Source organism: Homo sapiens, chromosome 8 (assembly GCF_000001405.40).
Source record: "Homo sapiens chromosome 8, GRCh38.p14 Primary Assembly".
NCBI lineage: Eukaryota > Metazoa > Chordata > Mammalia > Primates > Hominidae > Homo > Homo sapiens.
In genome coordinates, this window is record NC_000008.11 from 123,276,244 (window position 1) to 123,292,599 (window position 16,356).

A 16,356-nucleotide genomic window follows, 5' to 3' on the forward strand; every position below is an offset into this window, starting at 1 on the left:
CTGCCCTCGCTGGGAACCTCTTTAGACCGAGGAAGAGGTCTGGAAATGCTTCAAATAGAGAAATTCATTCTTTTGTCTACACAGTTAATGACAAGTTTTCTTTTGTTGTTGTTGTTGTTGTTGTTTTTGAGACGGAGTCTCGCTCTGTTGCCCAGGCTGGAGTGAAATGGTGCGATTTCGGCTCACTGCAACCTCTGCCTCCTGGGTTCAAGTCATTCTTCTGCCTCAGCCTCTTGAGTAGGTGGGATTACAGGCGCGTGCCACCACACCCGGCTAATTTTTGTATTTTTAGTACAAACGGGGTTTCACCATGTTGGTCAGGCTGGTTGCGAACTCCTAACCTCGTGATCCGCCCTCCTTGGCCTCCCAAAGTTCTGGCATTACAGGTGTGAGCCACCACACCCGGCCGATGACTAGGTTTTGTGTGTGCCAGTATATGCCAGGCACTGTGGGAGATGTACAGCTGAGTTAGTCAACTTTCCTGTCTTCCAGGAACTTACAATCAAGTAGCCAAGCAAAAAACAGGAGCATAAAGATGTGTCAAGTGAAAGATGAGAAGAGACCCCTTTAGGGATGTGGAGCTGTTGACTGTAACTTCACATTTTACCCCCACTTCCTCCCTCACTTTATTCTTCCTTCTCCTCTTCTACTTTAGCACTAGTTTATAGAGTCACCTCCTCCTCCCTATAAGCTGTCTCCCTGGTTCACTGCCCAATGCCAGCCATCCAGAATTCTCCCAGTTTAGGGTCATGCCCACAGGGCAATTCTGTCCAAGAAAACACAGTGCTGAGAACAATGTCCTTAGCTGAATTGCTGCCAATTACTTGGTATCCTTCTACAAAGCAAGACTGTTATCATCACCACTCAAAAAAAAAAACTGGTTGCAGACTTAAGCAATATGAATATATGTTTAGCATAGCAGATTGTGCCAGCCCACATAAATCTGCTTAGAGATCAGGCTCACAGAGTAACTTGTTTTTATTAAAATAAATTCATTTATAAAAATTGTAAATATGATGGATTTTAACAGCTGCGTGGCTCCAGGAGTTTTTTTTTTTAACCATGGATTGGCACAATTAGAAGTCTAGATTTTTTTTATGCATATGTTTTGCAGTTTGTCATACTCAAACTGGTATGGCAAAACTTCAGTACTCTTAGAGATAGAAGTTGTTCAGCAGGTTTTAAAAAGCACAGCACTTTTGCTATTCAGAGCCTCTTCCACCTTTGGAACAGTGAAAAAAAAATATTGGTAGGAAATGAAGAGCTTTGGATAAAAAGTTCTAAGCTCTGGTGTCATCTGAAGAGGAATAGGCTTCCAACAGCACTTTTTGTAGTAGTTCCCTTCTGTTATTATTTTTCCTTTTTCCACTTTTTGTGAAAAAGTCTTTTTAAAAACATGATACCATGAAATAGACCAGCCAAAAAGACATCAAACTAAGACACTTTAAACTTTTGACTACAGTTAGGTGAACTTAAGAATTTAGCCCTAGTGAAGTGCTCCCACTATTTTCTGTAATGGCTACATTAGAAGGTGAACAAAAATGTTCCTACTAAAACTAGTTCAGGCTGAATAAACTTTCTAAGACAGTTTAGGGGTCAAGCCATTTCCTGTTTCTCTTAGTGCTTGCTCTGTGAAAATAATAATGTTATTGGTAATAACAACAGTAAAAACAAGTCAATATTCTTGGTACTTGTAAAATTCCTTCCCACTCCACTCTTTCCCTCTACTTCTAGCATAGGACCATATATAGTACTACAGGACTATAGATGCAAAACAAGAAAAACAGAGAGGAAAACTGATTTTCCAGTATTCATTCAAAGAGTAACACATTGATACACTTTATATTTTAATCATAGTGTCATCTGGGTTGATTCATTCATTGGTGTGTAACTCTATATCCACCAAAACTTAGTGTCTTGGCCAGGCAGGGTGCCTCACGCCTGTAATCCCAGCACTTTGGGAGGCTGAGGCAGGTGGATCACAAGGTCAGGAGATCGAGACCATCCTGGCCAACATGGTGAAACCCTGTCTGTACTAAAAATACAAAAATTAGCCGAGCGTGGTGGCATGTGCCTATAGTCCCAGCTACTCAGGAGGCTGAGGCAGGAGAATCGCTTGAACCTGGGAGGCAGAGGCCGCAGTGAGCCAAGAGCGCACCACTGCACTCCAGCCTGGGTGACAGAGCAAGACTCTGTCTCAAACAAACAAACAACCAAAAAAACCTTAGTGGCTGTATCAGCATGACTTCTAAGGAAAAAGTGGCAGTATCTATTTTTTAACATAAAAATGTAGCATACAAATAACCCTAGGGAACACTCCTCCACTAGAAAGCAATGCTAGAGTGAGAAAATGCAATAATTCACTGTGTTTCAGTCTTTGCAGAGAAGTCTAAGTAGCAGTCCTTAAACTTTAATGTTCATGAAAATTATGGAGAACTTTCTTTAAAAATAGATTCTCAGACCCCACTCCTGGAAGAGTCTAATTCAGTGGGTCTGGGACGAGGCCATGAATCTGCATTTGACATGCAGCTGCAGACTTTGAGAAATACTCGTCTAAACAAACGCTTATAATTAAGGAAAAATTTCTTGTAGAAATAACTAAGGGTTACAAGCTACAAAAACTCTGAAAAGAAATACCATTCCTAAAATTGTCAGTTACATGGACATCAACACTGGGAAGGAAATGCCTTCAGTCAATAAGAACTTTCGGACCCATTGCAGACTTTCCATATTCTAGGAAAGGTCACAGCTCATTAAACTCTGAGCACTTTAGATATGTTATCCCATTATACCCTCCTAGTATCTCTGTGAGATTGTGGGTATTGTTTGCAGTTAACATATGAGGAAGCTAAAGTTTGGAGAGATTAACCTACCCAGGATAAGTAAGCTGGATTTTGAATCCATCCTGACCAGTCCTAAATCCTAATAAAGATGTTACATACACTGCTTCTAAGAAAGAAGGCATTGCATTAGCCAAGCTACAGTGTGCACTGGATTTGAGAGCATTCACTGTCATTGAAGTCAGATGGTCACTGTCAAATCCCAGATTCTCTGCCACTTGCTAACGGTATCAAGAAGTACAAACCCACCACAATTTAGTGGCTTAAAAAATGAAGCAATTAGTTACCTCAGAGGTCTGTGGGTCAGCTGGTTGAGTCTGCTAATCTGGGTAGTTCTGAACTGGAGCAGGTTTGGCTGATCTCGGCTGGACTTGCTCAGGCATCTGTGGTCAGCAGGTGGGCTGTCTGGGGGCTGCCTGGTCTCGGACAGCTGCATTCATATATCCAGGGGCTGGCTTATGCAGGACAGCTTCAGCCACACATTCAGTGGATGGCTGGCTGTTGATCACAGCAGGAACTGGGCCACTTTGTCTCATCTTCCAGTAGAATAGCCTGGACTCATTCACAAGCAGCCACAGTGTTCCAAGAAAGCCAGAAGCAGCCTTTAAGATCTCTTGAAGCCTAGGCTCAGAGCTGACATAACTGTCATTTCTGCCACATTTTGCTGGCCAAAGCCAATCACAGAGCCAGCCCTGATTCCACCTCCTTTTTTTTTTTAGAGAGAGAGACAGGGTCTTGCTGTTGCCCAGGTTGAAGTGCAGTGGCACAATCATAGCTCACTGCAGCCTTGAACTCCTGGGCTCAAGGCATCCTACTGCCTCAACCTCCCGTGTAGCTAGGACTACAGGCGTGCACTGCCATTTTCCGCTTGATCCCACCTCTTGAAAGCAGCTGCAAAGTCACATTGCAAAGGATGAGGCTACAGGAACGGCAAATAATTGTGGCCATTTCTGTCATTGAGTTACCACACTATGTGACTGAAGGCAGGTTTCTTAACCTGTCTATGTTTTCACTCATCTGTAAAATGAAGATAACATTACAATTGTTGTGTCCTATATCAAAGGGTTAATAGTTGATGAAAAGTTACCTTAACTTCCCAGAAAATATCAGCCTGATGATGCTCTCTATGGTCTTTCCAGCCTGAAAGTCTTATGAATTTGCATGGAAGAGAGACCAGGCTGATTTATGTGGCTCCTCAGGGAAGGACGTTAGCCCTGATTTTCTTACTCTTGATTTCATACTGTTCAGTCAACATAGTTCTGGTTGTGAGGTACCGAAACTCTCTTAAGCTAGCTCAATCCAGGAACGAAAGCTACTCTTTGACCCTGCAGGTCTACTCCATCGTCTCCTCTCTTGACTCCCTTTTTTAAAATTTTTTTTTTTTTTGAGACAGAGTTTCACTCTTTTTGCCCAGGCTGGAATGCAGTGGCGCAATCTCGGCTCACGGCAACGTCCGCCTCCCAGGTTCAAGCGATTCTCCTGCCTCAGCCTCCTCAGTAGCTGGGATTACAGGCATGGGCCACCATGCCCTGCTAATTTTGTATTCTTAGTAGAGATGGGGTTTCTCCATGTTGGTCAGGCTGGTCTCGAACTCCCGACCTCATGTGATCCATCCACCTCGGCCTCCCAAAGTGCTGGGATTACAGTCATGAGCCACCGCGCCTGGCCTCTTGACTCCTTTTAAGTCTCCTCGAGAACATGGCCTGGCTAAGTAGCCTCAGCCAAGGAGTCCAACATGACTGTTGAGCTCTGTTCATTAGAGTTAATGCCCCAATTCCCAAATCTAAAGAGAGAACCTGATTGGTCCAGCACATTTCTTCTTAAAAGGTCAGCTTAGTGCAATCTGCCAGGTTAGGAGGGGAAGCCAGTCTTGTGGGGAAAGAGCAGTTTTACTTGGGCAGCAGAGGCTGTAAGCAACGACGGTTCCTTCAGAAGATGGCTGTGAGCCAGCAAAGACAACGCTTTACATCTCCTGGACATATGTCGCCTTCTCTACAATTTGAGTTTACCTTTCCATCAAATAGTGAAAGGACTCAATTTCAAGGACCTTATAAAATCCATCTCCTCTCTGTACATTTCTTTTTTTTTTTTTTTTTGCGACAAAGTCCGGCTCTGTCACCCAGGCTGGAGTGCAGTGGCGCAATCTCGGCTTACTGCAAGCTCCGCCTCCCAGGTTCACACCATTCTCCTGCCTCAGCCTCCCAAGTAGCTGGGACCACAGGCGCCCGCCACTATGCCTGGCTAATTTTTGTATTTTTAGTAGAGACGGGGTTTCACCGTGTTAGCCAGAATGGTCTCAATCTCCTGACCTTGTGATCTGCGCGCCTCGGCCTCCCAAAGTTCTGGGAATACAGGGGTGAGCCACTGCGCCTAGCCAGGGTTGGGGTTTCTTCTGAGGGCTATCAGGGAAGGATCTTTTCCATGCCTGTCTCCTTGACTTGCAGATGGCCATCTTCTCCCTGCGTCTCCACATCATCTTCCCTCTGTATATGTTGGTGTTCAAATTTGCTCTCCTTATAAGGACACCAGTACACAGGATTAGGATCTACCCTCCTGACGTCATTTTAAATGACCTCTGCAAAGACCCTGTGTCCAACCTTGGTCACGTTCTAAGGCGCTGGGAGTTAGGGCTTTAACATATGAATTCTGAGGGAGTCACAATTCAGCCCATAGTAGGAGGAAAACAGTAATCATTATAAACTACAAAATGCAAGTAGTATCTCAGCCTGTTCTTTCCTGGGCTTATCCACAGTTCTGCATTTCCGAATGTCTTTCAGTCCCTAAGAATATTCAGTAACTACTTACTGACTCTCTGTGGTTTGTAATTTTTTAAAGTTCCGAGTCTATGAAAAGGGTGGTCATACTGGCTACTTTTTGAAGGCTTTTTATATTATGGCGAGTTTATCTTATGTTTAATCAAATAGCATTTTGTTTCCACATTGCCAAAGGCAATGGTTTTCAGCTAGACAATAGAATCACCTGGTGTTTTCTGAAAACATCTATTTTTTATTGGTCTATTCAAAGAAAAAAAAAAAATCTGCACCCCAGCTCTACCCCCCCGAAGATTCTGATTTATTCAGTTTATGGTGAGATATAGGCACTCTTTTGTTTTGTTTTTAAAAAGCTTCCCAGATGATTCCAAAATGCAGTCAGTTTTGAGAACCACTGGCCTCATTCAAGGGGGAAGGGAGGTAACCAACTTATATGAAGAACCTCTACCTGCCAGGTTCTGAGCTCAGTACTTTTCTATATAATCTAATGTAATTTTCAGAGCAATCCTATGAGCATTAATACTACATCCCCCATTTTGTAGATAAGAAAATTGGGGCGTAAGATTTGTTTGCTCAAGTTCCACAAATTGTGGAGGCAGAAGTTCAAATATTGGGTTGCAGGACTCTGGTAGGGCTGGAGATCTTTCCATCAGAAGGTCAACAACCATCATGTGAACACATTATCTCTATTTGTCCGAACGGACTAGGCTATGCTGCTGTAACAAACCCCAAATACCCAGTCTTAACATAACTTTTCAGTCATCGAGGCTTCTTTGGGCCCTCAGTGATTCTCTAGGGCGATTCGCTTCTAAGTGGTGACTCAGGGACCCAGGCTGCTTCCTCTTTTTGGCCATATACAAGAAATGTGGCTAGTTATGGGAAATGTGGTAGAGCAAATAGGTATTTTGGTGAGCAGTAAATGTTTCTTCCATGTTACCTTAACAAAAGGCATCTTTTTTGGAGAACCTATTCAAGAAGATTGAAACACATGTTTGACTCCACAGGCCCTCCTTTTCCACCACACAGTAAAGCCTACAGTCCATCCTTCTGTGCCTTGGATGATTAAAAAAGTCAAGGCAGGTTGGGCACGGTGGGAGACACCTGTAATCCCAGCACTTGGGCAGATCACCTGAGGTGAGGAGTTCAAGACCAGCCTGGCCAACATGGCAAAACCCCGTCTCTACAAAAAATACAAAAATTAGCCGGGCGTGGTGATGTGCGCCTGTAATCCCAGCTACTTGGGAAGCTGAGGCAGGAGACTCTCTTGAACCCAGAAGGCAGAGGTTGCAGTGAGCCAGGACTGCTGCACTCCAGCCTGGGAGACAGAGTGAGACTCCGTTGCCAAAAAAAAAAAAAAAAAAAGTAAAAGTCAAGGCAAACCTAAACTCTTTGGTGAGGTATGATGCAGTTTGGATGTTTACATTAGATTTAGATGCAACTTGACATATTTTATTGTATTATAAGCTCTTTGGGGGCAGGGACCATATTGCATTCATATTTGTATCTTTCCTAATGCCTTGCACACAGTAGGTCTTTAATATAGCTTATATGTTTATATATACATAAATTTAGCACATATTTATGGAACAAAACAGACAGTCTCTGCCCTCATGACTATAATTAAAATACCCCAACTGGACTCAGTGGCTCATGCCTGTAATCCCAACACTTGGGGAAGCTGAGGCTAGAAGGTCGCTTGAGTTCAGGAGTTCAAGACCAGCCTGGGTCTTGAAGTAAGACCTCGTCTCCACTAAAAATAAAAAAACTAGCCAGGCCCCATGGCACATGCCTGTAGTCCCAGCTGCTTGAGAGGCTGAGGTGAGAGGAACACTTGAGTCTGGGAGGTCAAGGCTGCAGTGAGCAGTGATCACGCCATTGCACTCCAGCCTGGGTGACAGACCAAGACCCTGTCTCAAAAAAAAAAAAAAAAAAAATCCCTAATCATAACTTAAATTAGTGTTGGGTCTTGCCATTTGTAATATGTTTTAGCTACCTTGATCTCATTTTAGTTATGAATGTTAAAAATTGAAAATATAGACCTAGGTGTTACTACATATGCTTTTAGAATATTAAATCAATTTTTTTAAATATAGACTGATTAGCTTGGACTTCTCACTAAGTTAATTTCTCAATTTGTAGTCTACTGACACATTTATTTCACTCCTGTTTCATAGCTTATGCATCCAGATATGAAACTGCAAGTATGCAGTTTACAGCTAACAAGATAATATATTGCTGTGCTTATGTTACACATATACCCAAAGGTTAAACACCTTTCTGATCATACAGATAGATTTGTAGACTTTTAACAACTTTCTTGAAAAATACTCGCCCAAAGACAGTTGAGGGACAATATAAAAATATAAGATTTTTTTTATATTTTATATTTAAATTTTATTATTTATACTTATTTGTATTTTATATTTAAATTTATTTTATATTTTTAAATTTTTCAGTTTACAAACACAAGGATTTTTTTTCTGATCTTTTTTGGCCCGCCTTTAAGATATTTCGGGTTTTATAACAAAATAAGAATTTTGGCTTAAAAGCAATTTTTAAATTTTTATAAAACATTTGTATGAACAAAGGAATATATTCACTACAGAAACATTAAAAAATAGAGGTGAGAATCCATTTATGTTTCTCCCTTCCTAGCCACTATTAGCATTTCAGTGTATTTCCAAACTGGCTATTTTTAGATGAAAGAAAATGTGTAGTTGTCTCTGCCTATTCTCCTGCAAGGTTATTTGGTCTAAGAATATTTTTTAAAGTCTTTTTGGGTAGACATTTTTCATTTAGCTAGTATTTTAGTGATTATATTTCATGCAACAGCTGTGAGGTGAAGGTTCAGAAGAAACCAGGGAATTCGTTTGGTTGATGGTAATTTACATTTTCTCCCTAGTGGGATGGGAAAAAAGACTTAAGAAAAATTTAAGGAAGAAACAGAAAAGAGACATATGTAGTGGTCCTAAATATAAAACACGTAAACTGAATGAAAAAAAAATTACAGAACATAAAACTGGGGGTAACTTATTTTTCTTCCTAAATAATTAAAGCAAAAGCTTGTGTCTTTTTTTAAGGTCCTGATTTTCCTAAATATTCACCAGAGTAAATAGCTATAATTAGGATTCATCACACGTAATCAGTTTCCAAATTATTTCATGAATACATTATCTGTTGCATCAAGCCTCCCTTTTTCCTCACAAGTCGATCTTCAAGCCTGTTGAAGTTTCACAATGGTCCTTTAAATCAGTACTTGTAGCTCACAATGTCTGTATGTCCAGAGTACTCATGTCTGGCTCCCTTTGATCTATTAAATGTTTTAGTTCCATATCTTTTGGGCATTTAAATCATTTTGATTCAGCATGTGCTGTGAAGGTAGAAGTATTTCAGGAGCCCTCTCGCTGCATGTTAAGTGCTGTTCTCTGACTCCCAGCCAGAGCTTGGATGTTGGCAGGGTTGATGGCTCAAATGTAGTGATTTCATTTCCAACCTTTGCACACTAAAATTACATAGCCTAAACACAAAACTTCCAGATTTTCCCTCTTAGAAGCACAATTTAACATTGCCATAAATAAAACAGTCTTTAAAATGGGAAGAAATTTGAAAATAAAATTGTAATGCTTCCACAATAAAATATTGGGGATATTAATGCTGGTTTGTGAGGTTTGGTAGCTGCGAAACCTTTAAAAAGTTATTGTTGGAGTATTTAATTTTTCCTACTTTTATTTTTTAAAGAGAGTGGGTGTCTTAGGTTGGGCTGCCCCTAAAACGGACCCTGAGTAAAGGATATGAGGGCAAGTGGTTCATTTGGGAGGTGATGCCAAAAAGAATGAGTAGGGGAGTGGGGATATAAGAAAGGGAAGGGAAGGAAGCTAGCAACGGTACAGTTTCTAGCCGGTTGCTGCTGTGGGACCTCGTGCTCAACTCTAATGGAGAACCTAGAGATAAAGTGTAGAACACACCTCAGAGATATCCCACCAAAGGGCCAAGGGAACGGGTTATTATTCACCAACTCCCATCTATGTCTAGCCAGAAGCTACTCACAGGGGTGTTAACTCTTTGCCACTTCCAGACCACCTCCACCGTGAGTCATGAGAAAACCCTCAGGTGTAGGGTTACCAACATTTGCAGGAGTTGCCACTGGCGCATACTGGAATGCTGAGTGCCAAAGCCATACAGTGTCTGTTCAAGGAAGGTTGTTACGAGCATGGGTTTCGAGTCACAGACACCTCATTTAAGTCCTGCTTCTGCCACTTATATGTGATAGTGAGTGAATGACTTAATCAGTCTCAGCATCTGTTTCTTTATTTGTAAAAGAAAAATAATACTAGAACCTACCTACTAGGCGTTTTATGGCCATTGTAAGTATGAATGAGATACTGTGTGTAAACTGCACACAAGGTGAGTGTTCACCGTATGTATCAAATAATTGGCTCAAATGGACATGAGAGAGTAAGTCAGCAAATTTTATCTGCTAAACTTTTGTGGCAGACAACTCCCGGGTCGCCTGCCAGGGTCACACTTTCTTATAATATGGGTTTCCCCTAATAATGTCTAAATTATGTGACATTGGTCTCTGGCAGGAACTAGGGTGGACATCAGGACCAGTCCAATTCTTTGGAACCAGGAGGGTACTATGAAGTCTAGAACAGAGAATCACTGAGCCTGGGTGGCTTTGTCTTTGTCAAGTCACATTAATGGCAACTATTTTAGGAACTTCAGCCAAGGGCTTGAAGCAGGACTAGTTCCCTCTCATTGACCTTTGGTTGTTCTAAACATCCATGAGGTAATTTACATCCTTTCAAAAATGTGCCTTTTTGCTAAAGTTAGAGGATTTCTGTTACTTACAACCAAAGAATCTTAACCAATAAAACCCATCTGTTTTTTATTTTTGTTTTTTTTTAGAGCTGTATTTTAGGCTGAAGCGTGGTAGGGCAATCATGACTCACTGAAGTCTCAAACTCCTGGGCTCAAGTGATCCTCCTACCTCAGCCTCCCAAGTAGCTAGGACTACAGGCATGCGCCACTACACCTGGCGAATTATTATTACTATTATTTTTGTAGAGATGGGTCTTGCTATATTGCCCAGACTGGTCTCAAAATCATGGCCTCAAGCGATCCTACCACCTCAGCCTCCCAAAGAGCTAGGATTACAGGCATGAGCCACTGTGTCCAGCAAAAACCAATCTGTTTTTATTTTATTTTATTTTATTTTATTTTTTTTGGAGACAGAGTCTCACCTTGTAACCCAGGCTGGAGTGCAGTGGTGCGATGTCAGCTCACTGAAACTTCCACCTCCCAGGTTCAAACTCCTGAGTAGCTGGAATTACAGGCATGCACCACCACGCCTAGCTAATTTTTGTATTTTTAGTAGAGACAGGGTTACATCATTTTGGCCAGGCTGGTCTTGAACTCCTGACCTCAGGTGATTGGCTTGCCTCAGCCTCCCAATGTGCTGGGATTACAGGTGTGAGCCACTGCGCCCGGCCCCATCTGTTTTTAACCTAATAATTTAATTAACTGCTGGATGCTCTCTTCTTTTATCAATATTTTTATATAAATATAATATTTCTTGGTATTTTATACTTGTTCCCAGAGCTAGTAAAAAACAAAACAAAACTCCCACAACCTTTCAGTCCTTTCTGCAGTTATTTTGCTGACTGACTATGCAAAGCGTAGAATATACAGTCATAACTAAATGGATTTCAATCTCAGGAAGGTGCCCAATATGTAAACAATTAACTGTAAGCAAATCAAACTGAAAATTTGTTCTTTCATGGCCTTGGAATGAGATAAATCTAACAGAAGCAGCTTCTAAAAATATAATCAAGATGATCTTGTATCTTTTAAAAAATAAGCCATTATTAGCAAGATCCTTCTCTCCTTCTGAAGTGTGGGCTTCCCTTCACCGTAGCTATATGTGCCTCCATTTCTTAGTAAACTCATATCTTTCTATTCTGCTTTCTTAATCCTCTTATCTATTTATCCAGCAATTAAGTCAACTGATACCTATTTAGTGCCAACTGGGAATTGATTGTGGTAGGTGCTAGATCTATAATCATAAAACAAAACAAAACAAACTTAGTTCCTGACCTTAAAGAGCCTATGATCTCATAGTGAGACAAATATTAAATAAATAAGCATTAAAAAATACCTAGTCTCCGGGCACAGTGGCTCACGCCTGTAATCCCAGCACTTTGGGAGGCTGAGGTGGGTGGATCACCTGAGGTCAGGAGTTCGAGACCAGCCTGGCCAACATGTGAAATCCCATCTCTACTAAAAATACAAAAATTAGCCAGGCATGGTGGCAGGCACCTGTAATCCCAGCTACTCCAGAGGCTGAGGCAGGAGAATCACTTGAACCCGGGAGGCAGAGGTTGCAGTGAGCTGAGATCGCGCCATTGCACTCCAGCCTGGGGGACAAGAGCGAGACTTCGTCTCAAAAAAAAAAAAAAAAAAAAAAACCTAGTCAAAGTATGTGTCACTGCAGGCTGGACTCATGGTCTTACCACTGAGTTTCAACAGCTGGTGATACTGGTCACTGGTGTAGGGAGGACTGCGCCCAGTCTATGCCCTGGCTTTCGTAGAAAAAGGAGCACTAATTGTTGTGAATTATTTAAGAGGAAGTTGGTAAAGCATCCTTAGTTGCTGATAAGGTTGTTGAGGAAATAAAAGACAAAGGTGGAAAAGTGGCCAGCTATGATTCAGTGAAAACAGGAGAGAAGGTTGTAAAGACAGCACTGGATGCTTTTGGAATAGATGTTGTGGTCAACAATGCTGGAATTCTGAGGGACCATTCTTTTGCTAGGATAAGTGATGAAGACTGGGATATCATCCACAGAGTTCAATTGCGGGGCTCATTCCAAGTGACCCTGGAAAGCATGGGATCACATGAAGATGCAGAAATATGGAAGGATCATTATCACTTCATCAGCTTCAGGAATATATGGCAGCTTTGGCCAGGCAAATTATAGTGCTGCGAAGTTGGGTCTTCTGGTCCTTGCAAATTCTATTGCAGTTGAAGGCAGGAAAAGCAACATTCATTGTAACACTATTTCTCCTAATGCTGAATCAGGGTTGACTCGATTATGCCTGAAGATTTTGTGGAAGCCCTAAAGCCAGATTATGTAGCATCGCTGGTCCTTCGGCTTTGCCAAGAGTTGTGAGGAGAATGGGGGCTTGTTTGAGGTTGGAGCAGGATGGATTGGAAAATTATTCTGGGACCGGACCCTTGGAGTGGTTGTAAGACAAAATCAGCCGATGACTGCTGAAGCAGTGAAGGCTAACTGGAAGAAGACATGTGACTTCGAGAATGCCAGCAAGCCTCAGAGTATCCAGAAATCAACTGGCAGTATCATTGTAGTTCTAAGTAAAATAGATTCAGAAGGAGGAGTTTCAACAAATCATATCAGTCATGCAACATCTACAGCAACATCAGGATTTGCTGGAGCTATTGGCCATAAACTCCCTCCGTTTTCTTCTGCTTATACAGAACTGGAAGCTATTATGTATGCCCTTGGAGTGGGAGCATCAATCAAGGATCCAAAAGATTTTAAATTTGTTCATGAAAGAAGCTCTGATTTCTTCTGTTTGCCTACCTTTGGAGTTATCATAAGTCAGAAATCGATAATGGGTGGAGAATTAGCAGAAGTTCCTGGGATTTCAAGGAACTTTGCAAAGGTTCTTTATGGGGAACAATACTTGCAGTTATATAAACCACTTCCTAGAGCAGGAAAATGAAAATGTGAAACAGTTGTTGCTGATGTCCTAGATAAAGGATCTGGTGTAGTAATTCTTATGGATGTCTATTCTTATTCTAAGAAGGAATTTATGTGCTATAATCAGTCCTCTCTCTTTCTCATTGGCTCTGGAGGCTTTGGTGGAAAATGGACCTGAAAGTCAAGGTAGCTGTAGCCATACCTAATAGACCACCTGATGCTATACTTGCAGATACCATTTCTCTTAATCAGGCTGCTTTGTACTGCCTCAGCAGAAACTGAAATCTGTTACACGTTGATCCTCACTTTGCTAGCCTAGCATGTTTTGACATGTGTACATGGATTATGTGTACATGGATTATGTACATTTAGATTTTTTGCCAGGCATGTTTTATAATCTGTCAAGATTCAAAGTGATTAAGACTTGTTTTGCAAAACCAGTATATCCAGGGCAAACTCTACAAACTGAGATGTGGAAGGAAGGAAACAGAATTCACTTTCAAACCACGGTCCAAGGACCTGGAGACACTGTCATTTCAAATGCATATGTGAATCTTATGCCAACATCTGATATTTCAGCTAAGACACCCTCTGAAGGTGAGGAACTTCAGAATACCCTTGTATTTGAGGAAAAAGGTCACTTACTGCCTTTTAAGGATGTTGGGCGTGAGATGGCAAAGAAAGTAAATGCTGTATTTGAGTGGCATATTACTAAAGGTGGAAATATTGCAGCTAAGTGACCTGAAAAGTGGTTCTGGAAAAGTGTATCAAAACCTGGAAAAGGTTTTGCTGATGCATACTTTCAGATGAAGATTTCATGGAGGTAGTTCTAGGCAAGCTTGACCCTCAGAAGGCATCTGTTACTGGCAGACTGAAGGCCAGAGGGAACATTATGCTGAGCCAGAAACTTCAGATGATTCTTAAAGACTACACCAGGTTCTGGCTGGGCGCGGTGGCTCACGCCTGTAATCCCAGCACTTTGGGAGGTCGAGGTGGGTGGATCACGAGGTCAGGAGTTCGAGACCAGCCTGACCAACTGAAACCCGTTTCTACTAAAAATACAAAAATTAGCTGGGTGTGGTGGCAGACACCTGTAATCCCAGCTACTCAGGAGGCTGAGGCAGGAGAGTCGCTTGAACCCGGGAGGAGGAGGTTATAGTGAGCCGAGACTGCACCATTGCACTCCACTCTGGGTGACAGAGCGACACTCAGTCTCAAAAAAAGAAAAAAAAAAAAAAGACTACACCAATTTCTGAAGGGCACACTATATTATTAATAAAAACAGAATAATTAAATACTCTCTTCACCCAAATATGCTTGATTCTTCTGCAGAAGTGATCAGAACTAAGACGCAGAGGAAGTTACTTACCATTTTCAGATGTCAGATAAGTTTTCAGATTTTTTTTTTTTTTTTTGAGACCCAGTTTCGCTCTTGTTGCCCAGGCTGGAGTGCAATGGCACGATCTCGGCTCACCACAACCTCTGCCTCCCAGGTTCAAGCGATTCTCCTGCCTCAGCCTCCTGAGTAGCAGGGATTGCAGGCATGCACCACAACACCTAGCTAATTTTTGTATTTTTAGTAGACATGTGGTTTCTCCATGTTGATCAGGCTGGTCTTGAACTCCCAACCTCAGGTGATCCACCTGCCTTGGCCTTCCAAAGTGCTGGGATTACAGGCGTGAGCCACTGTGCCCAGCCAAGATTTTTATTTTCTACTATTTTTTAAATGTATCATTATTTTTACAAGGAACTATATATAAGCTAGCATATAGTTATCCTTCTGTTCTTAGATCTATATCTTCATAATAAAAAATTTTCACTCAAGTCTAGATTTTTAGAATTTGTGATAGCATTTATAAAAGTTAAAAGGAAAATTAAATGAATAAAGGCCACTTTGATACCTTTAAAAAAATACCTAGCTAAAAATCATGAAATATGTAATATAGGAATATTGTACATTAAATGAGAGGTTAAAATACGAAGTCTTGTTTAGATTCAAGGGGTAAGAAAAACTTCTCTAAGACAGTGACTTCTATGCTGATAAATGAAGGATAAGGAATAGAGGTTAGATAGGTACAGGAGAAGGAAAGAGCATTCTAGACAAAAGAACAGCATATGAAAGAGCCCAGAGGTAAGAAAAAGAACTTTAAAAAGGACAAGTGTAGGCCGGGCGCAGTGGCTCACACCTGTAATCCCAGCACTTTGGGAGGCCAAGGTGGGTGGATCACCTGAGGTCAGAAGTTCGAGACCAGCCTGGCTAACATGGTGAAACTCCATTTCTATTAAAAATACAAAAAAATTAGCCGGGCGTGGTGGCAGGCGCCCGTAATCCCAGCTACTCCGGAGGCTAAGGCAGGAGAATCGCTTGAACTTGGGAGGCGGAGGTTGCAGTGAGCTGAGATTGTGCCATTGCACTCCAGCTTGGGCAACAAGAGCGAAACTCCATCTCCAAAAAAAAAAAAAAAGGGAGAGAGAAGCTTTGTTTCTGGTTTCAGCATTTAGATGGATGGTAGTGGAATTATTGATACAAGGAACTTTGGAAGAGCAGCAGGTTTCAGGGGAAGATCAAGATACATGGGCTTGTAGTTCAGAAAAGTGATATGGCCTAGAGATAGAAATTTGGGAGCAGTTGATATACAGATGGTATTTAAAGCCTTGAGAGTAGAAAACACCACCTGGGAAAACAGTGTCGACTGGTAAGAGAACAGAACCCCACACCAACTCTGCAGAACAACATGAAGCTAAAGGTAGAGGAGGATGCCATCAAAAAGGCAAAAAGGCCGGGCGCGGTGGCTCACACCTGTAATCCCAGCACTTTGAGAGGCTGAGGTGGGCGGATTACCTGAGGCCAGGAGTTCAAGACCAGCCTTGCCAACATAGTGAAATCCCGTCTCTACTAAAAATACAAAAATTAGCCGGGTGTGGTGGCAGGCGCCTGTAATCCCAGCTATTCGAGAGGCTGAGGCAGGAGAATTGCTTGAATCTGGGAGGCGGAGGTTGCAGTGAGCCAAGATTGTGCCACTG

General features: G+C 41.8%; 1 pseudogene; it reads left to right on the top strand.

Annotated features, from left to right (window-relative positions):
- On the top strand, window positions 12,089-15,237 carry LOC392266 (hydroxysteroid 17-beta dehydrogenase 4 pseudogene; annotated as a pseudogene).